At 53.0% G+C, this 24,730-nt stretch overlaps 1 protein-coding gene and 1 long non-coding RNA gene across 6 annotated transcripts, besides 4 other annotated features; both read right to left on the bottom strand.

The window, feature by feature from the left end:
- Nucleotides 1–6,355, bottom strand: LOC117779438 (uncharacterized). 2 transcript variants are annotated; one of them, NR_168502.1, is made up of 2 exons: nucleotides 5,982–6,355; nucleotides 1–939 (listed from the first exon to the last, which is right to left on the bottom strand). It is a non-coding gene; the product is annotated as an uncharacterized LOC117779438 (long non-coding RNA). The 2 variants fall into 2 exon arrangements; NR_168501.1 differs by having other exon boundaries at nucleotides 1–6,355.
- Nucleotides 6,705–7,256: an enhancer, noted in NCBI's record as "H3K4me1 hESC enhancer chr1:20479806-20480357 (GRCh37/hg19 assembly coordinates)". NCBI's record gives its function as "activates a minimal SCP1, AML or CMV promoter by ChIP-STARR-seq in naive H9 embryonic stem cells {active_cell/tissue: H9 hESC(naive)}" and the evidence as "EXISTENCE:reporter gene assay evidence [ECO:0000049][PMID:30033119]".
- On the bottom strand, nucleotides 10,188–21,246 carry PLA2G2F (phospholipase A2 group IIF). Of its 4 annotated transcripts, XM_011541956.2 has the most exons (6): nucleotides 21,026–21,246; nucleotides 20,351–20,403; nucleotides 16,979–17,123; nucleotides 15,880–15,989; nucleotides 12,158–12,379; nucleotides 10,699–10,776 (listed from the first exon to the last, which is right to left on the bottom strand). In XM_011541956.2, the coding sequence occupies exons 1-5, from the start codon at nucleotides 21,139–21,141 to the stop codon at nucleotides 12,168–12,170; spliced, it is 636 nt and encodes a 211-aa protein (XP_011540258.1). In that variant the 5' UTR covers nucleotides 21,142–21,246; the 3' UTR covers nucleotides 10,699–10,776; nucleotides 12,158–12,167. The 4 variants fall into 3 exon arrangements, with proteins under 4 accessions (NP_073730.3, NP_001347798.1, XP_011540257.1 ...); NM_022819.4 differs by having other exon boundaries at nucleotides 10,188–12,379; XM_011541955.2 differs by lacking the exon at nucleotides 12,158–12,379 and having other exon boundaries at nucleotides 10,188–10,776.
- Nucleotides 10,432–11,058: an enhancer, noted in NCBI's record as "H3K27ac-H3K4me1 hESC enhancer chr1:20476004-20476630 (GRCh37/hg19 assembly coordinates)". NCBI's record gives its function as "activates a minimal SCP1, AML or CMV promoter by ChIP-STARR-seq in naive H9 embryonic stem cells {active_cell/tissue: H9 hESC(naive)}" and the evidence as "EXISTENCE:reporter gene assay evidence [ECO:0000049][PMID:30033119]".
- Nucleotides 11,767–12,267: an enhancer, noted in NCBI's record as "H3K4me1 hESC enhancer chr1:20474795-20475295 (GRCh37/hg19 assembly coordinates)". NCBI's record gives its function as "activates a minimal SCP1, AML or CMV promoter by ChIP-STARR-seq in primed H9 embryonic stem cells {active_cell/tissue: H9 hESC(primed)}" and the evidence as "EXISTENCE:reporter gene assay evidence [ECO:0000049][PMID:30033119]".
- Nucleotides 18,138–18,638: an enhancer, noted in NCBI's record as "H3K4me1 hESC enhancer chr1:20468424-20468924 (GRCh37/hg19 assembly coordinates)". NCBI's record gives its function as "activates a minimal SCP1, AML or CMV promoter by ChIP-STARR-seq in naive H9 embryonic stem cells {active_cell/tissue: H9 hESC(naive)}" and the evidence as "EXISTENCE:reporter gene assay evidence [ECO:0000049][PMID:30033119]".
- Nucleotides 21,247–24,730: the final 3,484 nt, after the last annotated feature.

Genomic DNA, 24,730 nt, shown 5'->3' with positions numbered 1-24,730 from the left:
TTAAGGAAGGATTTGGCTTTATTCGGCCAGGAGCTTTGGCAGACTCGCATCTCAACAGCTGGGAGCTTTGGCAGACTCATGTCTCAAGAACCGAGCTCCCTGAAGACAGAGTTCCTGGCCCTTTTAAGGGCTTACAACTCTAAGGGGGTCCACATGAAAGGGTCATGATAGATTGAGAGCACATGTGGTTAGAGTGGGGGGTTGATCTTTTAACCTCAGGCCTGGTCATCAGTGGCACCGGCTGGTCTTGCCAATGACTTCATTCCTGTTGTTTTTCAACTTTTACTTCCTCCTCCTCTTCAGAGACAGGAGACAGTAAGAGAAATGGCCTCACTTCTCATTCCCCCCTTTGAGAATCTCACTCACTAGTGGGAGTTCTCACTGTCATCTTCACTACCCAGGTCTTCCAGTCCAGTTCCATCAATTCCTAGAGTTACATACTCTGTTTTCCAACAGGGATAAACTAGTTCCAATGGGTTATAGCACACATCAAGCTGGTCACTTCTTGGGCTGCATATCTTGTACTGGGTAGCATTATACACACAAGTCCCTTTTAAACAGAAAGTCTGTTTTAACTTTTTGCCCTACCTCAGTCTGAGGAAGGTCAGTTGAAGTCCTTACTGTACAAGTCCAAAATTTTAGGAAAATGAGTCCCACGATGAGTTTCCTCATGCTTCAGCCATGCACGGACCAGTCAGCTTCCAGGTGTGACTGGAGCAGGGCTTGTCATCTTCTTCAAAGTCATCTTGCATGGGTTGTCCAAGCTTGGTCTCACCTCCCAGGTCTCAGATGCTTTAGGTTTTACATGGCTGTGGTGAATCCAGGCTGGGATTCCTTCTACCTTTATGGCTGTGGGAGTGGTCAAGACGATGGTCTGGGGTCCTCTCCACCGTGGCTGCAAGGAGGCTATGTTCCAATCCGTGATCCATACCCGATCACCTGGGGAGAAAGGGTGAACTGGGGAGAATAAGCTGACAGAGCACCTCTCATTTACCCAGGCTGAAATTGTTTGTGTAATTTTGCCTAAAGCCTGTAGCTGTTGCTGTAAGTCAATTTCACCTAGCTCTCGAGGAGTGCCTGGGAGTCCCCATAGTCTGGGAGGGGGGCCTATGATATAATATTTAATAAGGGGAATATCCTGTTCTTTTAGAAGGGGTACATCTAATCTTAAACAATACCATAGGGAGGCTTATACCCACTTTAATCCTGTTTCTTGACACACTTTCCCTAAACTATTTTTGATAGTCTGATTCATCCACTCCACCTTCCCAGAACTCTGTGGTTGGTAAGCGGTATGTAGTTTCCATGTGATCCCCAATACCTTTGCTGTCTTCTGTACCAACTAGCTACAAACACCAGCCCATTGTCTGAGCTGATTCGTAAGGGCAGTCCAAACGTAGGGTTGAGATCTCGGAGAAGCACACAGGTTACTTCACAAGCTTTCCCAGTTCGTGTTGGATAGGCCTCCACCCACCTAGAGTATGTACACACTAGAACTAGCAAATACCTGTTACCTCCACATTTGGACATCTTGGTGAAGTCTACTTGGAGATCTTCAAAGGGGGCTGCTCCATAAGCTTGTATGCTGGGCGGGACAGTTGGACCTTGCCTAGCATTGTGCTGCTAGCAGGTGACACACTGCTGCACCACTGTTTTGGCAAAGGCTTACAGATGTGAGATGTAGAAGAACTGGCCCAACAACTTTTCAAGTGGCTCTTGGCCTATGTGCGTGGTCTCATGCATAGCCAATATGACTGCGGCTCCTAGCAGTTGTGGTATGGCTATTCTCCTGTCCGATAACCAGATCCATCCCTCTTCTATCACCTGTCCTCCCTCTGCCTAGAGAAAGTCCTTCTCTTCTTTAGAATAAGTAGGTACAAGGTCAGGTGCCTGAGGGAATAGGGGGGCTGTGATTGATGCCCAGAAGGGGGTGGATGCTACTTTTCAAGCCTCTGAGTCAGCTTGGGAGTTCCCCAAGGCAATCGAGGTGGAAGCTCGCTGGTGTCCTCTGCAATGCATGACTGCCACCTTTTGGGGCTTCCATACTGCCTCTACTAACTGCAGGATCTCTTGCTGGTACTTTATGTCTTTTCCCCCAGATTTCAATGGGCCTTTTTCTTTATATAATGCCCCATGCACTTGGAGGGTTAAGAAGGCATACCGAGAGTCAGTATAAATATTTACAGTCTTACCTTCACTTAGCTCTAAGGCCCAAATTAAAGCAATGAGTTTGACCTTTTGGGCTGAAGTATCCTGGGGCAATGATTTGGCTTCAGTGACAGCATCCAGGGTTACCACTGCATATCCTGCACACCTCTCTCCTTGTGGGTTGACGAAGCTGCTCCTGTCCATGTACAGCTCCCAGTCTACTGATGTCCAAGGATGGTCTTGGAGGTCAGGCCTGCTAGAATAAACTGTGTCCAACACCTCTACATAGTTACGTTCGACTGGGCTCTCTGACACTGGGAGTAAGGTGGTGGAGTTCAAGGTGTTGCAAACTTCAATGGTTATGCAGGGATTTTCACGGAGCAAGCTTTGGTACTTAGTTAGTCTACCATTTGTTAGCCAATGATGTCCTTTGGTATGCATTAAAGTCACCACAGCATGGGGGGTGCTTATGTTCAGGTTTTGCCCAAGAGTTAGTTTATCTGCTTCTTGTGCTAGCAGGGCAGTTGCTGCCAAGGTCCTCAAACATGGGGGCCAACCTTTAGAAACTCCATCTAGCTGTTTGGAGAGGTAGGCTACTGGTCTTGGCCAGGGCCCCACCGTCTGGATTAAAACTCCCAACTTCCATCTTTTCACTCTGCCACATACAGTGTAAATGGCTTCATCAGGTCAGGTAGCCCCAGGGCTGGGGCTGACATGAGTTTCTCTTCTAACTCATGAAAAGCTCATTGCTTTTGTGACTTCCATTCAAAAGGCTCTTTGTTACCTCCCTTTATGACTTCGTACAGAGGTTTGGCCAGTACTGCAAAGTTTGGGATCCATAACCTGCAGAACCCCACAGCTCCTAAGAATTCTCTCACCTGCCTTTTGGTCTTAGGCTCCGGTAGGTTGCAAATGACCTGCATTCTTTCTGATCCCAGGCTGCGCTCCCCCTGTTGGATAGTAAATCCCAAGTAACGTACCTCCTGTTGACATATCTGAGCTTTCTTCTTGGATACCTTATACCCACAGTCCTCCAGGTGCCAGAGCAGGGTATCCATTCCCTTGGCACACCCAACTGCCATGAGGTGTCCCAGCAGGAGGTCATCGACATACTGGAGCAACACGCAGCCTAGGTCTCTGGTGGGAAACTTTTGCAGGTCTCGAGCCAGGGCCTCCCCGAAGATGGTGGTGGAGTTCTTGAACCCTTGGGGAAGCTGGGTCCAAGTGTACTGAGTGGTGACACCTGACCCTGGATCCTCCCACTGAAAGGCAAACAGTTTCTGGCTCTCAGGGGCTAGTCTGATGCTAAAGAAAGCGTCCTTCAGGCCCAGGTAGGTGAACCAGCTGTCCTCAGCTGGCAGCAACCACAACAATGTGTATGGGTTAGGTACTGTTGGATGTAAAGTCACCGTAGCTTGATTGACCAAGTGCAAGTCCTGTATCAGCCTGTAGTCCTTGGTCCCTGGCTTGGGAACAGGCAGGAGGGGAGTGTTCCATGGAGAATGACAAGGGACTATAATTCCAAAGGCCCTCAGGCACTTGAGATGGACCTGGATACCTTCAAGAGCTTCTCTGGGGACCGGGTACTGTTTTTGCCTGACCAGTGATGATTCCCGTTCTAGGTAACTTTAACTGTAAAGAGCTGTGCTTTGTAAAATAGATGGTGGCTTTCAGTTTGCTAAGTAGGTCCCTTCCTAGCAAAGGCAAGGGGCAGTCAAGCATGTACAGGAACTGGTAAGTCACTTCATGTCCCCCTATGGTACAGGTCTGGGGCAAACAGAAAGCTTGCTTTGCCAAAACCCCTGTGGCTCCAATTATATCAATAGTCTTTTTGGATAAGGGGGCAACCGGGGTGGTCACTACAGAATGTTCAGCACCAGTATTGACTAGAAACTCAATGTTCTGCCCCCAGCTGTCATCCTGACCATGGGCTCTTTGGGGGCACATGAGCCTGGTCCCCCTCTGTCCCATAACCCTTCTGGCAGATTGAACAAGTCTCCTTCGTCCTTGTCTGAGACCCTTTGCTCAGAGTCACCTCATTTCCCTTTCAACTGGGGGCCCCTTCCTTCCAATGTCCTGTTTTCTTACAGTAAAGCACACTGGTTACGCTGCAAGTGTGGATGGCCAGATTGGGTATTTTTCCTGGGGCCCCCCTTCTCTCGCCCCTTTGGGGGAAACCCCTCTAATAGCTGCCGCTAGCAGGTCAGTGTTTCGCCGGGCTTGGCATTCACTCTCTGTGGTGCTCTCTGCGGCTTACTGCATCTCTATTTACAAACACCTGGTTGGCTATCTCCAATAACTGTGACATATTCATGCCTACAAACCCAGCCTGTTTCTGCAATTTTCTTCTAATGTCTTCTGTAGTTTGACTAAAGCCATGGTAATCATGCACTGATTTTCAGGGCTATCGGGATCAAAGGGAGTATACATAGGATAGGCCTCACATAGTCTCTCGTAGAATTGTGCTGGGCTCTCATCTTTCCCTTAAATGACCTCAGAGACTTTGTTAACATTTGTGGCCTTCTGCGCTCCCTTCTTTAACCCTTCCAGAAGGGCTTCCCTGTACCGGTTTAGCCTTTGCATACTGTCTTTCATCTGGGTCCCACTGGGGGTCTGTTCCTGGTAATTGGATCCTCACATACTCTTGGGGGTTTTGGTAATCAGCAGGAACATGTTCTTCCAGCCACTTAGTTGCTGCTTGGAGCACTCTCCTCCTTTCATCTGTGTTAAAGAGGTACATGAGCACCTGGTGGCAATCAGCCCAGGTGGGGTTGTGGGTCTGGATTATAGTTTGGAGCAAATCAATTATAGCTTGAGGCTTTCCGGTATAGGATGGGGTATTGTTCTTCCTATTGAGGAGATCGGTAGGGGTGAAGAGCTGGTACACAAAGGCACGCCTTTCCACCATATGCCCGTCCTCGTCTACCCCAGTATACCATTGCTCTCTCGGGGGCATTTGTATCCCAGTTCTAGGCCTCAAACAGGCTGCCAAGGGAGGGGTTTCTCCCGAGGCCTCACATCCTTTCTTTTCTACTCTTGATGGCCTAGGGGTATATAGGCCTTGTGGAAGCTTGGGTGCAGTGGGCTCAGGAATGGAAGGCCTTCCTTCTTGGTAAAAGGGGGAGGTCACTGGTGCTGTTTCTTGCCATGAATCCTCTGATGTTGGGTCGGACAGGACTTTAGGAGTTGATTCCCTCGGCAGGTGGACCAGGATTCTTCCTTGGCTGTTTGTCCCTTTGCCACTAGTATTACTACTGCCTATCCTCTTAACCACTGTGGGGGGGTCTAAAACCAGCTGTAACCAAGTGTCTATGTATGGAAACTGGTCTAGGTATCCTTTACCAGTTACCTTGTGCCACACCTTTGAAACAAGGGACCTGTCTAGGCTTCCTTCTGTTGGCCAACCCACTTCTAATGCTGCTCAGTCTATCTCACACAAAGTTCTAAGCTTTCCTAGTGTCATAGTTAACTCCATAGTCTCCACCAAATCCTTCCTTGAAATTTTTCAACATAGTTCCTAGAAGAGTGGGCTTACTTTGCGTTCCACCCACCTTCCTCCCGAGACAAAACAACACTCACACTACAAGAAGGAAAGGGTAAAGGGGTCACTCTAGTCTCGCCTGTCTCAAACTCAAGCACTCACTTTCACTTTCCTTTTTGCAAACAAGTCAAGCCAAATCAAAATCAATACTGAGACCAAAGTGCCGATTGCAAACAAGTCAAACCAAATCAAAATCAATGCTGAGACCCAAGTGCCGATAAGGGCACACGGTGGGTGATCAGGCTACGCTTCCACTCAAACGGAGTGGGGAAATTCCCAGGACCGGTCCTACCGTATTCCAGTTGTCCAGACTCCAAGTGCCAGTTCCTTCCCAGTGTTCAGCCACTGCGTTGATCCTCCACGGGGGCCTGCCATGCACCACTCTGATAAGGCATCCCACCGGGGCAAATACCTACCCAGGAGCGCTCTCAGGATCTGCGTCACTCAAGCTGGCCAGAGCCGCCCACAGGGATACTTCACAGGGCAGGCCTAAACTGCCTAAGGGGCTGCCTCCACCGTCCATCAGTCACCCGATTTCCCGGTCAGGGAACTAAGAAAGGTAGCAGGATGAGCCGTGGACAAAACCCCTCAGACACCAGGTTAAGGAAGGATTTGGCTTTATTCGCCTGGGAGTTTCGGCAGACTCGCGTCTCAAGAACAGAGCTCCCCGAAGACAGAGTTCCTGGCCGTTTTAAGGGCTTACACCTCTAAGGGGTTCCACGTGAAATGGTCGTGGTAGATTGAGAGCACATGTGGTTAGAGTGGCGGGGTTGGGGGGAGGTGGTTAAACTTTTAACCTCAGGCCTGGTCATCAGTGGCACTGGCTGGTCTTGCCACTGACTTCATTCCTGTTGTTTTTCAACTTTTACTTCCTCCTTCTCTTCAGAGACAGGAGACAGTAAGAGAAATGGCCTCTCTCCTCACCCACCTCCTAGGGCTGCTGAGAGGGTTAAATGAGAGGACACACAGAGCTCTGGGCACAGTGATCGATGCACTCTGCTTTTCTTACTTGGGCCCTGACATCCTGAGATCACAGACCCCCTTCCTTGGCAGAGCATGGGTGTTTTAGGGGGGTTGACTTTGGCAGGGCAATGTGTCTTTTTTTTTTTTTTTTTTTTTCTCAGACGGAGGCTCGTTTTGTCACCCAGGCCGGAGTGCAGTGGCGCAATCTCGGCTCACTGCAAGCTCCGCCTCCCAGGTTCATGCCATTCTCCTGCCTCAGCCTCCCGAGTAGCTGGGACTACAGGCGCCCCCCCACCATGTCCGGCTAATTTTTTTTTTTTTTTGTATTTTGTTTAGTAGAGACAGGGATTCACCGTATTAGCCAGGGTGGTCTTGATCTCCTGACCTCATGATCCGCCCGCCTCAGCCTCCCAAAGTGCTGGGATTACAGCAGTGAGCCACCGCGCCTGGCCCAATATGTCTTTTTTTTTTTTTTTTTTAATTGTGCACCCCTGTCTCCTGTTGCTAGGAGCCTTGGTGTTTTTCTCCAGAACTTTCCTTGTTGTCACAGTGGGTGGCATCAGCTGCTTGTCAGGAAGCCACAACTAGGGAAGCCAACAGCTAGTGTTACTGCGGCAGCCTCTGGAGGAAGGGCTGCCTCTCTGCATTCATAGTCAGGGCCGGGCCGAGGAAGTGGCGGCTCTCAGGCCCAGCTGGGGGCAGGGTCAGTCAAGGCCCCGGGTGCCTGGCTATGGCTTAGGGACAGCAAGGGTCCACAGACCCTTCCTTTCTACATCCTCTCCCTCCTCCTCCTCCCACCCGCTCCCTTTCCCCCTCACACTCACAGGCAGGGAGCCAGATTGTCTTGCTAAATAACAGCTTTGCTTCTGCCAGTTTTCTGTTTGGGGAAGAATATCACAGGCAGTCCACTTCCATCAGCAACACCTTCTTCTACCTGCCGCTGTCTGCCACCCCGACCTGAAGGTCTTTTGCCCAGGGCACCAGTCACCCACTCTAGAAAATTTCCCTTCTCCACGCCAGGCCCTATGCTAGGGGCATTCTCATCCCTGAGCTCATGTCATCCTCAAACCCTATGGGGTGTGCTTCATTATCAACCACATTTTACAGAAGGGGGAAACTGAGGCTGAGAGGGGTGAAGCGACTTGCCACATCTACACTGCCCGCTAGGGACAGGGCCAGGGTGCCACCCAGCCTGTGCTGTTTGCTTTAAGGGCAGCGCTTCTCGAGAGGCGGTGATGACAACAATGAGAGGATGGTGGAGGCCATACTGACGGCTTCCTGTGCTCTCCTGGACACTGTGGGCCTGGGGCAGGCCCTCAACAGAATTCCACTCTGGGTCCAGGGCAGAGGGGCGGGAGGGGTGCAGTGGAGCACCGGTTGTGACCCGTGATGTCCACTAGGTGTCGCCCGCGTTCTGGAAAAGCTGTCAGCGACGCCCCACAGGTCCGAGGAACCCGGAAAGGAGCCGGGAGGGGCATGGGTGTCCCGAGGGGGTAGGCGGACCTAGGTCTGGGCAGAGATGGCAGCCCCAGGACAGGGAGGAGCACTAACAGCGCCGTCCTCACGCTTTAGCGTGGAAGACCTCAGTCCCCCGGATGGAGTCTTCATGGGTCCCCAGGGGAGGAGATCCCCAGGCGGTAGAAGGGCCCCCTCCTCACAAAATGTGACCCCCTGCTCCTCCTCTCCACGCCAGGGAGACCCCAGCTGCACCACCCCAGCTGCATCCATCCCCTTTTGGCACCTTTGGGACTGCCACACAGACCTGGGTCCTCACCCCTGTGCTCCCGGCCACACCACTTGGCACCGCGTGTCAAGGTTAAGAGCTCAGCGTCTGCCTCCCGCCTGGGCTGCAGGCTTCTCGGGAGGGTGGGGGCGGGCAGAGGCTGGAAGCCCAGCACCACAGCTGGCACACAGGGGACTCTCATGCAGGGCTGCTGGGTGAACGAACCCGTGGGGTGAGCTTGTCCAGGGATTTTCAAACTTTTAAAATATTGAGTTGAGGAATCCCTCTTCTTGCAGGGTCGCCTGTGAAAGCTTCCCCATATAACACAGGGGTACCGGCTGATGTCCCCAGGGAAGCCCACAGCTTTAGGGAGCATGAGAAACAGCCGCTCTGGGCCAGGCGCGGTGGCTCACGCCTGTAATCCCAGCACTTTGGGAGGCCGAGGCGGGCGGATCACGAGGTCAAGAGATCGAGACCATCCTGGCTAACATGGTGAAACCCCGTCTCTACTAAAAATACAAAAAATTAGCCGGGCGTGGTGGCGGGCGCCTATAGTCCCAGCTACTCGGGAGGCTGAGGCAGGAGAATGGCGTGTACCCGGGAGGCGGAGCTTGCAGTGAGCCGAGATGGCGCCACTGCACTCCAGCCTGGGTGACAGAGTGAGACTCCGTCTCAAAAAAAAAAAAAAGAAAAGAAAAGGAAAAGAAACAGCCGCTCTGGTCCCTGCAGGGGAGGCAACGGATGCCCATACAGGAAGGAGCCTGAGTCGGGAAGGGGCCAGGACCCAGCTGCCCTGCGGGACCCTCATGGCCCCACGGTCACTCACTTTCACTCTGAAGAAATATCCAGCCTCCATACTAACGATCTCGACTGTAATAATCTCCTGCTTTCCCCTCCCCACCCCACTCAGCTCACAAAGCCCTTTCCTCCCCACTGTCTCAGTGGCTGTCACAACAAGCCTGGGACCCTTCACTGCAGAAATGTAGTCCCATTTCACAGATGGGCCCACCAAGGCTCAACAGATGTCAGCGGCAGAGCTGGAAGGAGAACTGGATGGGCCGGCATCAGGACCTCGGTCTCTCCTCCCACTGCCCCAGGTGCCCACATCATAATTCAGGAGCTGCAAGGAGCAGGGATTAAAAGTCAGATGCAGCCAGGAGTGGTGGCTCACACCTGTAATTCCAGCACTTTGGGAGGCTGAGGTGGGCGGATCACCTAAGGTCAGGAGTTCGAGACGAGCCTGGCCAACATGGTGGAACCCTATCTCTAATAAAAATACAAAAATTAGCTGGGCGTGGTGGCGGCCGCCTGTAGTCCCAGCTACTCGGGAGGCTGAGGCAGGAGAATTGCTTGAATCCAGGAGGCGGAGGTTGCAGTGAGCCGAGATCACACCGCTGCACTCCAGCCTGGACAACATGGCGAGACTCTGTCTCAAAAAAAAAAAAAAAAAAAAAAAAGTCCGACACAGAGGACTCAGAGCCCAGCCCCACCACCTGTGACCTGTGTGACTTGAACTCTCTGGGACTCGGTTATTCAACAGAAATGGGTGGAGAGAGTACGGCAGAGATCTGTGCCTGAAAAGGCTTAGCCCCGTTGTTATCATCATACCATGGTCATGGTCCCACTGCCGGACCACGGGGCCTAGGGTCCATGGTTTGGGCACCACTTCTCACTCCCAGGCTGGGGGCAGGAGGGAGACGGGCCATGCCAGCTACTGGGCAAGGGAACCCACCTTCCCCAGAGCTGGAGAAGCAGGGGGAGTCACTGTGTCCTCCCCCGACACCTGGCCAAGGAGGGGCCAGCCATGGGGAGTTGAGGTAGGAGGCCTTTATTCATTTGAGGAGAGGAAGCCGAGTCCTGTGGAGATTATCCAGGAGCTGCAGCATCCGAAGCGTCTGGGGTGAGTGGGGGCAGGCAGGACCCCTGGCAGCAGAATCCCATCCCCAGACCCTGGCCTAGTCTTTCCGAGGGACAGGGGAGGGTGTGTGTGCGCGGGGGAGGGGCGCAGCTGGGAACCTGCGTTCCCCCAAGCCGGAGAACCATGGCCAGCAAGAGGCGGCAGTGTGGCATGGGGGGTGGGGGGCGTGGGCCCCTCCCAGACTGACTGTGGCGCTGGGTGGCAGTGTCCTTGTCTCCAAGGCTGGGGCTCTGGAAACCGCCTCTGGTCAGGTTTCCTGTCCTTTTTTCATACATGTCCCTTCTGCCTCCTTCTCCACCCTTCCCGGCTCTCCCTCCCCAGCGACAATGGTGCTCCAGGGGCACTGCCAGGCGAGCTTGCTGGCGGCTGTTGAGTCCGGGCGGAGGGTGGCTTCAGTGGTTTTCGGGCAGGTGGGGCTGGCTCCGTGGAGGCTGCTGACCCTGAGTTGAGGCTCGGGCAGGTAAGGAGGAAGGTAAGGTGCACCTGGAGAAACAACAGTGCTGGGGGCCGCAGGGCCGTCCCCTCCACTTCAGCCCCAGCTCCACGCCCCACACAGGAACCCAGCCCCGTAAGGCCCTGGCCCCCAGCTCCTCTGTGTTGCCTGGAGGCCCGTCCCTGCTGGTGGCTGTCACTCACCTCGTCTCTCCATGCTCCCATCTTCTCCCCTCTCCTTCACCACCCTGTTCCTTACTGCCTTCTAGAAGCTTCCATGTAGCCTCCTACCTTGACCCTCTTCTAGAAGTTTCCAGGCTGCCTCCCGCCTTGATGCTCTCCCTGCTTACGTTTCCCTCTTCACTGAGGTGGGTCTCAGCCCTCAGCCTCTTCCCCACCAATGGGACTTGTGACGCCTGCCCACAGCCCAGGGAGAGAGGGTGTGGGTCCCCCTCCGGTGTTCTGGCTGCTGTTCCAGGTGCAGGCCAGGAGGGATGGGACTTGCAACACCCATCCACAGCCCAGGGAGAGAGGGTGTGGGTCCCCCTCCAGTGTTCTGGCTGCCATTCCAGGTGCAGGCCAGGAGGGCAGTGTCTGTCAGGGACCCGGAGCCGGGGGGTAGGAGTGCTCCTCAGACCCACGTGGTGTGGCAGAGCAGGGTTGGGGTGATGTGCATGGGTCGATGGGGGACACAGAGAAGACTTGTAGGTGTTGAAGGCCATATTTTTGTGTGTCCCCATATTAGCCTGGGGGGTGTACCTGGGTGTGTGGCTCTGTCAGTGCCCAGGAGCCTGCTCTGAGGCTAGACTTCAGGGCTGGGACACTCAGCACTGCACATCCCCTAGGGTCTGAACCTGGACTCATGGCCACCTCAGTGAGGGCTGGGGTGGGGCACCTGCTCTGTGAATGGGGCTCTAGAGAGCTTCAAGCCCAAAGTAGCCACCACCCCAGGCCATCCTGTGGGATCAGCTGAGGGGCTCCCGGAACCCATGCTTTGTGACCAGCAATCTGCCTTCCTGTGATCTTGGGCCGAGGATGCATCCAGCTCTGGGCCTGGATGCTCAGGCCCAGACTTTCTAAGGCTCAGACTTTCTAAGGCTCCGGGGAGTTAAACTGGCGCCAGCAACAGAGGCCCCACTCAGAGGCCCCTCCTCCTCTCTCTCAGGTCTCCCCGGCCACCCTCAGGAGAGACCCCTATAAGCTCCGTGCCTCCCACCCAGTCCAGAACCAGCAGCAGGAGGCACCCATGCCTGGGGCTGGGCTGGGGGAGTCAGGACCCAGGCCTTCCTGAGTCCTCTGAGAGCTGAGCCCTCACTGGAGAGCTCCAGGGAGGAGGCAACCAGCAACCCTCAGGCTCCTGGCCTGGCTCCTACCCTCCCTGCACCTCGTCTGGTCCCCAAGCCAGACCCTCCTCCCGCTCTCTCTCTCAAACCTCAGAGGCTCTAGGGAGGGGCGGGGGGCGCTGGGGATTGGTGACTGCAGGTGACCTCCTCAGGGGGCGGTTCATAGATGCTGCAGTTGGGCGTGGGGCCCTGGCAGTAGACATTGAGGAAGCCACGGTACTCCTCTCGGTACGTCTGGTTCATGAGGCACAGAACCATGTTCTTGTCACACATGCATGTCTGCTTGTCACACTCTGTCTTGTTGAGGTCACCTACAGGGGGATGGGGTGGCAAAGGCTGTGGATGAAAGGGGCAGCAGCTCCCCCAGGACTACTGCTGGGGAAGGGGAGCACACAGACTTGGAGAGCCCAGTGGTCCTTGGAATGTGTTACCTGGGCGGCAGGACCAGCACCACCCACGGGCCCCACCCCACGCTTACAAGGTCAGCAGCTCTGGGCTGGGGCCCGGCAGTCTGTGTTGTAACAAGCTCTCTAGGGGACTCTGGTGCATAGTAAAATTGGGGAACCACTGAAGCCCAACACAGTTATTGCATAGCTGGGGAAACTGAGCCCCAGAAAGGGGGATGGGTTTACCTAAGTCACCCACAGAACTAAAGCACCCCCCACGCCTCCCAGGCTTGTTACTTCCTGCCATCCCAGACCTCTTCCCTTCAATCACAGAATCAAAGAACGCCCAGTGAAGAGGGAGTTATTGCCGGGCGCAGTGGCTTACGCCTGTAATCCCAGCACTTTGGGAGGCCAAGACAGGTGGATCACCTGAGGTCAGGAGTTGGAGACCAGCCTGGCCAACATGATGAAACCCCATCTCTACTAAAAATACAAAAAATTAGCCAGGCGTGGTGGTGGACGCCTGTAATCCCAGCTACTCGGGAGACTGAGGCAGGAGAATTGCTTGAACCCTGGAGGAGGAGGTTGCAGTGAGCCGAGATTATGCCACTGCACTCCAGCCTGGGCAACAAGAGCGAAACTTCATCTTAAAAAAAAAAAAAAGAAGAGGGAGTTATTGGTAAGAAATGAGTGGGAAAAACAATTGTTCAAAAGCTTAGTGCCTAAGAGCCTCTCACATGCCTAATCCAGGGCAAATGCTACTGTTGTTTGTCCCTATGCTGTTGTTATAATTAGTAGATTTCGGAAATCATCCTTAGGTGCACAATAGAATCAGCTGGAGGGCTTGTTCCAACAAAGACTGCTGGACCTCACCCCTAAGTATCAGATTCAGTAGGTCTGGGTGGGGCTTGATGATTGGCATTTCTAACAAGTTCCTGGGTGCTGCAGCTGCTGCTGTTGCTGGTTCAGGGGCTACCCTTTGAGAACCTCCAACTAGCTTGATCGGTCTGCAAACTTTTCATACCTTCTACCAGCAAAATCCTGTTTCTTAAACGAAACTCTTTAAAGAAAGCTGATGCATCAGACGGCCCCAGAAGAAGCTGCTTAATGATAAAATACACTAAAGTACCAGCTGAACCTCTCAGGGACTGTGACCAGCACCTCTCAGGGCCTCTGGCTCTGATGGCCCCAGGGATTCCCAGAACCCAGCATGAAAATCACTGCTTTAAGTTCGTCTGTTACCCCTGGTGGGTGGTGGCTGGGGGAGAATCTCTCTCCTCCAGCTGCTTTAATAGGGGGGCATCTGCTATCTCAGGCCAGCCCCTCCACCTCATGTTTGAACAGCAGAACATGAGGACCACAGAGATCTGGGCCCCCAAGGGGTCCCAAGTGCACCCCAGTCTCCACTAGACTCCTTCCCAATGACAGAAGATTTGAGTGTCTTTGCAAAGCCAGCGTTGCTTGTGAGCTATTAATAAGCAACAACTGGTACCACCAGGTGAAGACATGGGGGCAAAGAGGGCCCAGTGGTTGCCCACAGGCTGGGCCAGGGGGAGTCCTCTCCCAGAGAGGAGCACAGAGTAGGGCAGGGCAGGGACACCTGGGCGCTGCTACTTGGATGCCACTTGCGCTTACCTACATGTCTCAGTTGGGAAATAGCCACAGCAAGTTCATGGTAAATGAAGGAACCCGCCAGGCCAGGTGCTAATACCTTGGATCCCTGGAAACACTGGGCGTCCTAGGATGGAGCCACCTCTGCAGGTGGGGTCCGAGTGACAGAACCAGAAGAGAAAGAGTCCGCTCTGATCCAAACCCCTCAGTGGACCCATGAGTGAGGAAACAGGCCAGATGGGGAAGGAGCTGCCCAGGGCTACATGGAGCAGGGAGATGGTGACAGAACCAGAGTTCAAACCCAGGTCCCCTGACTCCCAGGCCAGCATGTCTCAGAGCCTCCCTGCAGAGCTGCAGTCTCAGAACCATCTGGGGAGCCGGCTGAAAGCCAAGTTCCTGGGCCCCACCAACACCCACGGAATCAGAATCACCCAGAATTTGGGGGACAGGAGAATTGGGATGCCAATTCCAGGACTGGAGCATCAGAGCACCTCAGGGAGATGTTCTCAAGCCACAGCTAGGCTGGTCAGATTCAGATTTAGCAAAAAAGCAAAACCAAAATCAAAACACAGGATTCCTGGTTGAATTTCAATTTCAGGCTGGGCTGGTGGCTCATACCCATAATCCCAGCACTTTGGGAAGCAGAAGTAGGATTGCTGGAGGCCAGGAGTTCAAGACCAGCCTGGGCAACATAGTGAGACCCCCATCTCCACAAAAAATACAAGAATCAACTGGGCATGTTGGCACTGGCCTGTAATCCCAGCTAATTGGGAGGCTGAGGCAGGAGGATCACTTTAGCCCAGGTTAAGGCTGCAGTGAGCTACGATGGCACCGCTGAACTCCAGCCTGGGCAACAGAGCAAGGCCCTGTCTTAATTAATTAATTAATTAATTAATTAAAATTTCAGGTAAACAGTACATGTTTGGCTGGATGCAGTGGCTCACACCTGTAATCCCAGCACTTTGGGAGGCCGAGGTGGGTGGATCAAGAGGTCAAGAGATCAAGACCATCCTAGCCAACATGGTGAAACCCTGTATCTCCTAAAAATTTAAAAAGTAGCTGGGCATGGTGGCATGCACCTGTAGTCCCAGCTACTTGGGAGGCTGAAGCAGGAGAATCACTTGAACCTGGGAGGCAGAGGTTGTAGTGAGCCGAGATCATGCCACTGCACTCCAGCCTTGCGACAGAGAGAGACTGCGTCTCAAAAAAAAAAAAAAAATACATGTTTTAGTAGAAGTATGTCCTAAACATTTCCTTATCTATAAATATTAATTAATTTTATACTAGCATTTAGTTTTGAGTATCAATATGTCCCATGCAATATTTAGGACATATTTAATATTAAAACATTTTTCATTGTATAGCTAAGAAATGAATTTCACTAGGCAGCCTGTATTTCTTTTTTTCTTTTTCATTTCTTCTTCGAGACAGAGTCTCACTCTGTCTCCCAGGCTGGAATGCAGTGGCGTGCGATCTTGGCTCACTGCAACTTCTGCCTCCCAAGTTCAAAGTGGTTCTCGTATCTCAGCCTCTCCAGCAGCTGGGATTACTGGCACATGCCACCAAGCCCAGCTAATTTTTGTATTTTTACTAGCGACGGGTTTTCACCACATTAGCCAGGATGGTCTCGAACTCCTGACCTCAAGTGATCCGCCCGCCTCGGCCTCCCAAAGTGCTGGGATTACAGGCATGAGCCACCGCACCCGGCTGGCAGCCTGTATTTAATCTGGCAAGCCTGTCCACCATCCCAGCACAGGCTGGTAGAGCCAGCCACTCCCTTCTCTGGGGGCCCAGGTGACAGGGGAGGGACTCACTGCAGACTATCTCAGTGTTGTTCTCGATGGTGTGATCATAGTGGTCCACATAGGGGTGACAGCCTTGGTCAAAGAGTTCCTGGTAGCAGCAGTCGTGGGCGTGGCAGCACCTAGGGAGCGGCAGAGGTGAGTGGACAGGCATGGCTGGGCCGGCCCATCTCCCACCAGCAGAGACCTCTGATCATCTCTTCCAGTCTCTCGCAGGTCAAACGTTCGAACTGAAGCCCAGAGAGGGACAGTTACTTGTCTGAGGTCACACAGCCAAGCAGAGCTGGGGCCGGCACCCCAGGTTCTGATTCTCACAGCTTCAGCTTCGTTGGCACCTGCCAGACCTGCCCCTCCCAGGACACATTCTCCCCTGTGTCTTTGTTCTATCCACAGGGCTCCCAGCTTTCCCCCAGAGCCCCGGCTGCAGCAGTGGGAGGAGTCAGGGACCTGCCTAGGTTTACGTCAAGGTTGGAGGAGCGTCGACTGTAGGCAGAGGCCACCCCTGGCTGTGCCTCATGGCCAGGGAGGGACAAAGGTCTGGAGGGTCAACAGGGACTGGTAGGATGGCGAACAAGAAACACAGGCAGTGTGGCTGTCCCCATCACCTCTGGGGGCGTGAAGTCAGCTAGTCAATGTGTATTTATTTAGCTTTCTGTGATACAAACTTGGTGCTGCCTGCTGTTGGGGAGATAGGAGCAGAAGACAAGCCATGGCTGCTGGGAGCTCACAGTCTGATGGAGGAGGCATGGTCCTGTCTTCCAGAGCCTCCAGTGTGAGGCAGGCAGGGGTCACAGCCCTTGCCTTTGTGGGGTGTCAGCTGTGTGACTGCTCTCCCATGTGTGTTTTGGAGCAAGTCAAAGGTCCCTTCCTAGAGAGAGGAGGGGCTGAAACACTTCCAAGCCCATGGCCTTGGAGATGGACAACAGAAAGCGCTCAAAACAGTTTGGAAAGAACATAGTCAAAGACCAGGCTCTGGTCACCAAGTCATCAAAGAAGCTGGATCCTTTGGGGAAAGAAGGTCTCCCCCACTCAGGGATGGAGGGCAAGGTCAGTCTGACCTTCAGCTGTCCTCATTTGGCCCCTGACAGGAGCCCAGGCCTCTGGTACCTACCAGTCCACCTCATCCTTGGGCTGGCCACGGCCCCCCAGCCCACAGTAGCAACCGTAGCCCACGAAGGACAGGATGGCGCTCCTCCCTGTGACGGCCTCCACCATGGCCTTCAGGTTGAGCAGGCTGCCGTGAGCTGTGGACAGAACTGCAAGAGAACCAGGGGGTGCTCTGAGCCCCTGCCCCGGGGCTGGCCGCTCCCAGCCTCTCTCATCCTGAGAGTCTGGACTGACCATCCTCCCAATACCTAGGGTAGGTGGGAGAAGGAAGGAGAAAGCAGGAGAGGAAGCTGGGGCAAGAAGCGTGGGCAGCTAAGCCAGAGGAAAGAAATCTGCAAGGTACCATGTATGGTGTGCACCCACATCCCTGCGGCCCTGAGAAAACAACGCAGGTCATCCTTGCTAGGGACTTGCTCCATGCCAGGTACTGTCCCAAGCCCCTTCCATGTGCATGAATCCATTGAGTGCTCACTGCAACCCCCTGCATGCTCTTGTTATGCCTCTGTGCAGATGAGAAGACTGAGGCCCAGTGCATTTAGTAACTTGCTCTACATCCCGTTGTCAGAAAGCAGTGGAGACAGAATTTGGACCCAGGCAGTGAGGGTTTTGCATCCACACCCCCTGCCACTTGGCTGTACACACTTCTCAAGGGGGATGCCCAAGTGCCTGGTATGCTGGAGGGAGCTTCGCAAAGGCCACATGCTCTTAGGAAGCTCAGGGGGTTGATTCTGGGTCCCTTCCTGGTCTCTGCCTCCTGCCTCTGCCCTCCTGGGGGCCTCAGAGTCCCCACCCTGATCCCGGGCCTGGTGCATCTCAGGATCAATCCAGCGACAATTCGGTGCTCTGATCGCTAATGAAGAAACAGAAAAGGCTTCGTATTACAGGCTGATACTGGCTGGAGGTGGGAAGAAGGAAAACAGTCTCCCCACACACACACAGAGGGAGAAATAGTGCAAGGACACTTCCTGCACCAGCGAAATCAGCTTCATGGCACCTGCCAGGCCGGCCCACCCCAGGACACATTCTCCCCCTGGCCACTGCTTGTCTCCATCTTGCAGTCTGTGCCTGTGCGGTGGCTCTCTGAATTGCCTGCGCTGCCTCTGCACATCCTCCTGGATGCAGCACTGGGTCCACACGCCCAGCCTGGCACCTACAGTCCTTACCTGGGGGAAGCTGCCCTACACACACCAGCAGGAGAGCCAATCTATCACGATTTTATGGGTGAGGAAACTAAGGCTCAGAAAGGTGCAGGCTTGCCCAGGTCCCACAGGCTGGAGGGGGCAGAGCCCAGACTGCCCCAGGTTTGTGTACTGCGGAGCTGGGAAGCTAACCGCAGCGCAGGGCAGTGCAGCTCCGCCTGCTTCCCCCACCCCAGCCATTCTAGCTGCAGTCAGCGTGAGGGGCCTAGCTCAGCACCCTTCCTGCCACTCTCTCCATGTCCACCCTGCTCCCCAGCCTGAATGAGGAAATGTACTGGGAGAGGGGAAAGCCAACGGTTTCAGAAACTGGTGGCTCAGGGGAATCCCAAAGGCCACTCTTGCCTGCTTCCAGAGACATGGTGTCCGACATCTCTAATGACAGGGAACTCACCACCTCAATGTGCCTTAGTGGGAAGAGCATTGAATCTGGAGTCAGACAGACCTAGGCCAATAACCAAGCCCAGCTGGGACTCCCTGGGGCTCTGTTCTCCCATCTGTAAAATGGGAGTAACAATCTAAACCATGAGAGATCAGGCAGGCCAGTGCCCTGCTGGAGGCCTGGCACACACCAGCAACCTCTCGGATCACAATGCCCAAAGCAGAGGATGGAGATCATGACGCCTCCTTGCAGGGCACCTTGGAGGTTGAAGTGTGATCATGAAGGTGTGTAGAGTGCCTGGCCCACACAGCGCCTTGAGGAGGGACCCAACCACTGCGAGGCCCTGGCTGCCTCCCCATCTGCCCCTGGCCTTGTAAGTGTTACCCGGGAGGGGGCACCTCCAGTCCCAGGACCCCCGACAGTCAACTCCCATGTGGCAAGAGAAGAAGAGCAAGAAGTCTACGTGGCCATGCACAGGGTGAACACACACTGACACACACACACCCATCTCACACACACTCACACACCTGCCCACCTCACACTCTCCTTTACACACCACATGCACTTGCATACACACTCATTCCCAGACACCTCAAACTCACACTCACCCCCACATACCTGATACACTCAACACTCACACATACATACCTGATACACTCATACACCTACACTCACCCATACATACATGATATACACCCACACATACCTGATACACACACTTGCACACTCGCCCTCGTGCATTACAGATGCACTCACATACACAACGCATCCAGGGGAGAATCAGGGGCCTGGCCCAAGGCCACATCCACACTGACCGTCCAAGCGAAGGAATCCAAGTCCGCATTCAGTTGGGTTGAAGGCTCTGCCCCTAACCAGTGGCTTGGACTGAACTCAAGCAGTCGTCTTCTCAATAACAAGTCACTTTGCCTGAATGCAACCAGCCCTCTCTCACGTCTGGCCACGTGGAACCTTATTTTGGTTTTTGTCATTTATTTCTTTTCCTCAAGCCAGGCTGTGTTCTGGCGAGGTTTAACAGGCTGCATGCAAGGCCAGTGAGAGGCCCAGCCAATGGTCCATGGAGCTGGGACACCTGCCACATAAATGATGCCGGGACGAGTGGCAGGGTCAGGTCTGTGTCAAGAGCCTCACGCAACAATCCTATGGGGCGGCTGCCCAGAGCCATGATGCCCTGGGTACCAACCCCAGAAAGAAGCCCCTGACCTCCCACCACTATGCAGTACACAGACACCCATCCTACACACACACACCCTCCTGCAGATCTATGCACCCTTCATCCATAAGCATGCTCTGAAGACACACACCCCAATTAACACACACTCACACAAAGAGACACAAATGGGCTCGCACTCAGGTGCCTACACTGTCACATACTTTATGGATGCATGTTGCACACATAGACATCATCACATGCTCAGACACACCTACACACACATAGATGCCTGTGCCTGTCTGCACACAAAATCATTAACTCCAGTCTGATGGACACACACTAGTACACATTCAGGTACACAAATGCCCAGCCAACACCAGCATTTTACGATGCTTGCTCAGCCCTGCGCCCTGCCCCCCAGGGCTCATAAATGCATGTTTACAGGTGGCTGGAGGGGTAAACAGCCCCAGAATTGGGTGCAGCCTGCTGGGCTGAGACAAGAAGCAGAAGCCCAGAGACAGGAAGGAACCTAGGCTGGTCAGTGGAACCATAACTCAGGCGCCCAAGGTCACGGGAGACAAGCTGGGAGTGGGAGAGAAGGAGGAGCCCTCTGGAGTCTTTACTCACCGCTGCCAGCAAGGATGGCCACGGTGAAGAACTTCTTCATACCCAGGCTAGACCTGAGGGAGGACGAAACCCGGAGCTTGAGTCCATCCCCTCCACCCTTGGCAGTGTTGGACCTGCTGCTCCCTTCCTGAGCCTCAGGACAGGTGTCATCAATGCTGTCCCTTGATGTCCTAGTTGCTGCTCCTAGCGCTGTCATCAGTACCTGCCCAGCCCCTCCTGGAGGAGCGCACCCCAGATGGCAGAGCCAGGAGGCACGAACACCTCCTTGCCCCCCACTCTGGCAGGAACCCCCTCCACGCATCAGCCTTCAGGACAGGAAGCCTGCTGTCTCAGGCCAGACCTCCCATGCACACACTAGGGAGTCCGGGAAGGAAGTCATATGACCCAGCCTAGCAGCTGGGTCTTGAACCCAAAGCCAGGAGTCCTAGGTCCCTGGATTCCAGTCCCAGCACCGCTTCCAAAATGTGTGGCCTCAGCCTCCCTGGGCCACATGAGGGTTGTGTGGCCTCACTCTCCCTGGGCCACATGAGTGCCACGTGAAGGTTGACTAAATGATCCCTTTGGGGTTCTGCCCACCACGTGGACTCTTAGGAGAAAGGGATTCTAGGAGCCAGTCCCTCACGCCTGTCCCTGCCCCTCCCTGGAGGATTCCATCTCAGGGCAACAGGCACCTACCTGGAGGTTCTTGAAGGACAGGAGGCCCCGAAGCGTGGGCCCCTCCACCCAGAGAAGCATCTATCCAGCACCTTCTTTTTGAACCCTTTGGGGTTGGCCTTTGCCCCATCTGCCATGTTGCGGGTTCTGGGGGGCCAGCAACATAGGTCTCAGAAGGTCTGAGATGCGCTCCAGAGGCTGCGGGGAGCAGGCCCCAGCTTCACGCTGCCTCGCACACTGGCAGGGGAGTGGCAGGTGACACATGCCCTAGAAAAAGGAGGCTCCACCTCCTCCTCCCTCCCCCACAGCCCTGCCCACAGCCAGCTGGTACAGTCCCCACCGCTGGGTGCTCTGGTCTGCCTGACTTGGGGGTTTACATACCTGATAGGAGAGTCAGTCTTTCCCCATGCATCTGAAAGGAAATTAGCCCAAAGGCCTCTCTTTCCCCATCTGAAAGATGTTAAAGATAAAACATCACTCAGTGACACTTGTTGAAACACAGTAAGGCAGGCTTTGTTCAAAGGGGCCATGGGGACAGGTGTAGGGCCATGGCAGTGGCTTCCGCAGTGGGGAAGAGAGACTGGACTCAACAGCAGATACAATAAGAAAAAGCGGGAATTCATAGCCAAGGAGCAGGGTGGGGTCTGAGGTTGGAAAGTTAACCAGAAGAAACATCAGGGGTCATGGGGGGTTGGGAGACTCTGGCTAAACCGATCCACCAGGATTCCTGCTGAAGGCAGGTGGGTTGCTCAGACATCACCTGGGGGCCACGGAGGACAAGAAACCCAATCAGATATGGAGGACAAAATTGAGGATTCTACCTAAACCAACTTAGCAGCGTTGTGACATTGCCAAATTTGCCCTTGAAGGGGGCACAATTATCTGACGGAGATCCTGGGGGGCCTGGTTGTCAGCACCATTTGCCTTTTTTGAAGGGGGGTGGTATGTATGAGAAAGATGGGACTGGAGAGAATCCAAGGCAGTGTGAGCTCTGGGAGCCCCTCTCAGGGCTGGGTCACCTGGGCTGAGCTTGGGGGTTTGAGCAGTCGCACTGATAGAAGATCCCATGCCAGTACCACCACTTCCCAGCCGTGAGGCCTTGGTAGGAGAGCTCCCTTCCCTGGTCTCTGAGTTCTCAGCTGTAAGTGCACATAACAAGGCCTCACCGAATGAGGGTGATGCTCATACAAGTCGGGTGTCATGTGGTGGGTTGGGGCAGGTGTAAGTGCCCAGTTAAAGATCTGATTGTTACAAAGTAGAGGGCTGGGCACAGCGTGATCACTCACACCTGCAATCCCAGCACTGTGGGAGGCCAAGACGGAAGGATTGCATGAGGCCAGGAATTTGAGACCGGCCTGGGAAACATAGTGAGACCCCATGTCTACAAACAATAGCAAAGTAGGGGCTGATCTCCAGCCTTGGGGAGAATTGAGATACTGGGAGGGGATGGTAAGGGAGGCAGGAGAAGGTGACTCTTGGAAGTTGACACTGCAAATAATCCCCTCACCTTCAAGTTGATCCATCTCTCTCAATGTCCTCAAACCTGCCAACAAGGGGCAGAAGAGACCCCTGGGGCTTCCCTTCCTGCCCCTAGCTTTGCCAGCCTCCTCTTCTGGCTATACCAAACCACAGTCCACATGTCATCCCCCTCACCCAGCCCCCACCCTTCCTCTGCCCAGCTGCCTCTCTGTGGATCCAAGTCCATCTCCTCTCCAGGAAGTTATCCCGGAAAAACCCCACTGCATCCAGTCACAGGTCCTTGCATGGGAGGGTGTTTGTTTGCATTTGGTGATGCATTCCAAAACATATACAGGTGATGTTACCTGTATATGTTTTGGTTTATGAATCTTGACACTTCCTTCAAACTGGGGATCCTGGAAGGAAGGGGCCTTTGTTTCTTCCAAAAGCCTAGGGCTTCCCCCTTGGGACAAGGCTGCATCTGCTTCATCAGACTGGGAGTGATTGGAAAACAAGACTAGTCTCTGTCTTCACTTGTCTGCACAAAGTTTGGCTTCTATCTTTGCCTCCATTTTCTCAAACACCACTTAATGATGTCACCACACTCCAAAGAAGGAAGAATCGAGAAGTAAGGCCCAGTATGTCCAAATCCTGAAGATACAGCCTCCAACCTGCAGATAACTAGAGCCACTCCAACGTAGGTCGAGGAGGCCAAGGCTGGGGCCGGGGACCCCTGAGAGCCTCTGAGCAGCATCACTGCTACTTTCTCAACTGGAATTCCCACTGGACATGCTGGTTGGGCTGGTCTTCAGAGAGGCTTGATCCTTGAGGAAGAGGACGGGCTCTTCCCTCTCCCTCCACCCTCCCCCTACCAAGCTCAGGGTGCTCAATAATGAGTCAATAATAAACTGGTTGACCCAGTAATTCCACTTCTGGGACTGCAGACCAAATGCCAACTTGAGTTGCTCCTAGAGACACTGAAGGGGTGTTTTCTTGATGCTCCCCCAACCCCATTAGAAGCAACTTAAATTAGGGGTTAGTTAAGCAAATTATTAGCCATCCATCCATAATCATGTTTTCAAATAATATTTGTTGACACAAAAAAACCACCCTGTACTACAAGGTAATAGCATTTTTAAAAAGGAGTTGGTGTACACAGGTATAAAAATTATCTAGAAGGATACAATGTAAAAGCATTAGTAATGGACATCTTTAGACGTGGAATAAATGGTGGTTTTTATTTTTTTATTTGTAATTTTTGGTATTAAGATGAGTATAAAAATACATTCAACAATTACAATAAAATGGCCAATTTCCTCGAAAGGCACAAAGTCACTCAACTGGAAATAGCTGGATATTTATGAAAGCTGCTGAATATATAGTTTAAAATCTTCCCATAAACAAACTCCAGGTCCAGATGGCTTCACTGGTGAACTTGACCAAATACTTAAGGAAGAAGAAACACCAATTGTATTAGTTTGCTAGGGCTGCCATGACAAAATACCACAAATGGAGGGACTTTAATAACAGAAATTTATTTTCTCCCAGTTCTGGAGTCTGGAAGTCCAAGATCAAGATGCTGGCAGGGCTGATTTCATTCTGAGGCCCTTCTCTGTGGCTTGAGGATGCCACCTTCGCTCTGTGGCCTCACGTGGCCTTTCCTCTGCGCATGCCCATCTCTCATGTCTCTTTGTGTGTCTAAATTTACTCATCTTATAAGGACACAAGTCATGCTGGATTAGGACCCACCCTTGATTCCACTTAATCACCTCTTTAAAGGCACTATCTCCAAATACAGCCATATTCTGAGGTACCATGGGTTAGAGCTTCAAATTACACATTTAGGGGAGGGGAAAACAATTGAGTCCATAACACCAATTACACACAAATTCTTCCAGAAAATTTAGATAAAGAAAGTTCTTCCCAATTCATTCTACTAAGCCAACATTATTCTAATGCCAAAACCAGATAAAGACATTACAAGAAATGAAAACTACAAGACTACGATTCCTCATCAACATAGATAAAAAAATTCTTAACAAAATATTGGCAAACGGGCAAATGCTGGTAAACAGGAAAATATACCATGACCTAGTGGGGTTTATCCCAGGAATGAAAGATTGGTTTTGCATTAAAAATCAGTCAATGTAAATATACCATACTAACAGACTAAAGAAGGAAAGCCATATGGTCATCTCAACAAATCCAAGAAAACAAAACAAATGCCATTTGACAAAATCCAACATCCATTCCTGATTTAAAAAACTG

Source organism: Homo sapiens, chromosome 1, assembly GCF_000001405.40.
Source record: "Homo sapiens chromosome 1, GRCh38.p14 Primary Assembly".
NCBI lineage: Eukaryota > Metazoa > Chordata > Mammalia > Primates > Hominidae > Homo > Homo sapiens.
This window is presented reverse-complemented; position numbering and strand designations above follow the sequence as displayed.

Excerpts from the sequence above, each read along its gene's own strand:
- PLA2G2F (XM_011541955.2), bottom strand. The coding sequence starts at position 21,141 with ATGGCAGATGGGGCAAAGGCCAACCCCAAAGGGTTCAAAAAGAAGGTG. Across the intron at positions 20,404-21,025 it reads TGTCCTTCAAGAACCTCCAG|GTCTAGCCTGGGTATGAAGA; the intron begins GTAGGTGCCTGT and ends GTCCTCCCTCAG. Across the intron at positions 10,777-15,879 it reads CAACACTGAGATAGTCTGCA|GTGCACCTTACCTTCCTCCT; the intron begins GTGAGTCCCTCC and ends TTGTTTCTCCAG.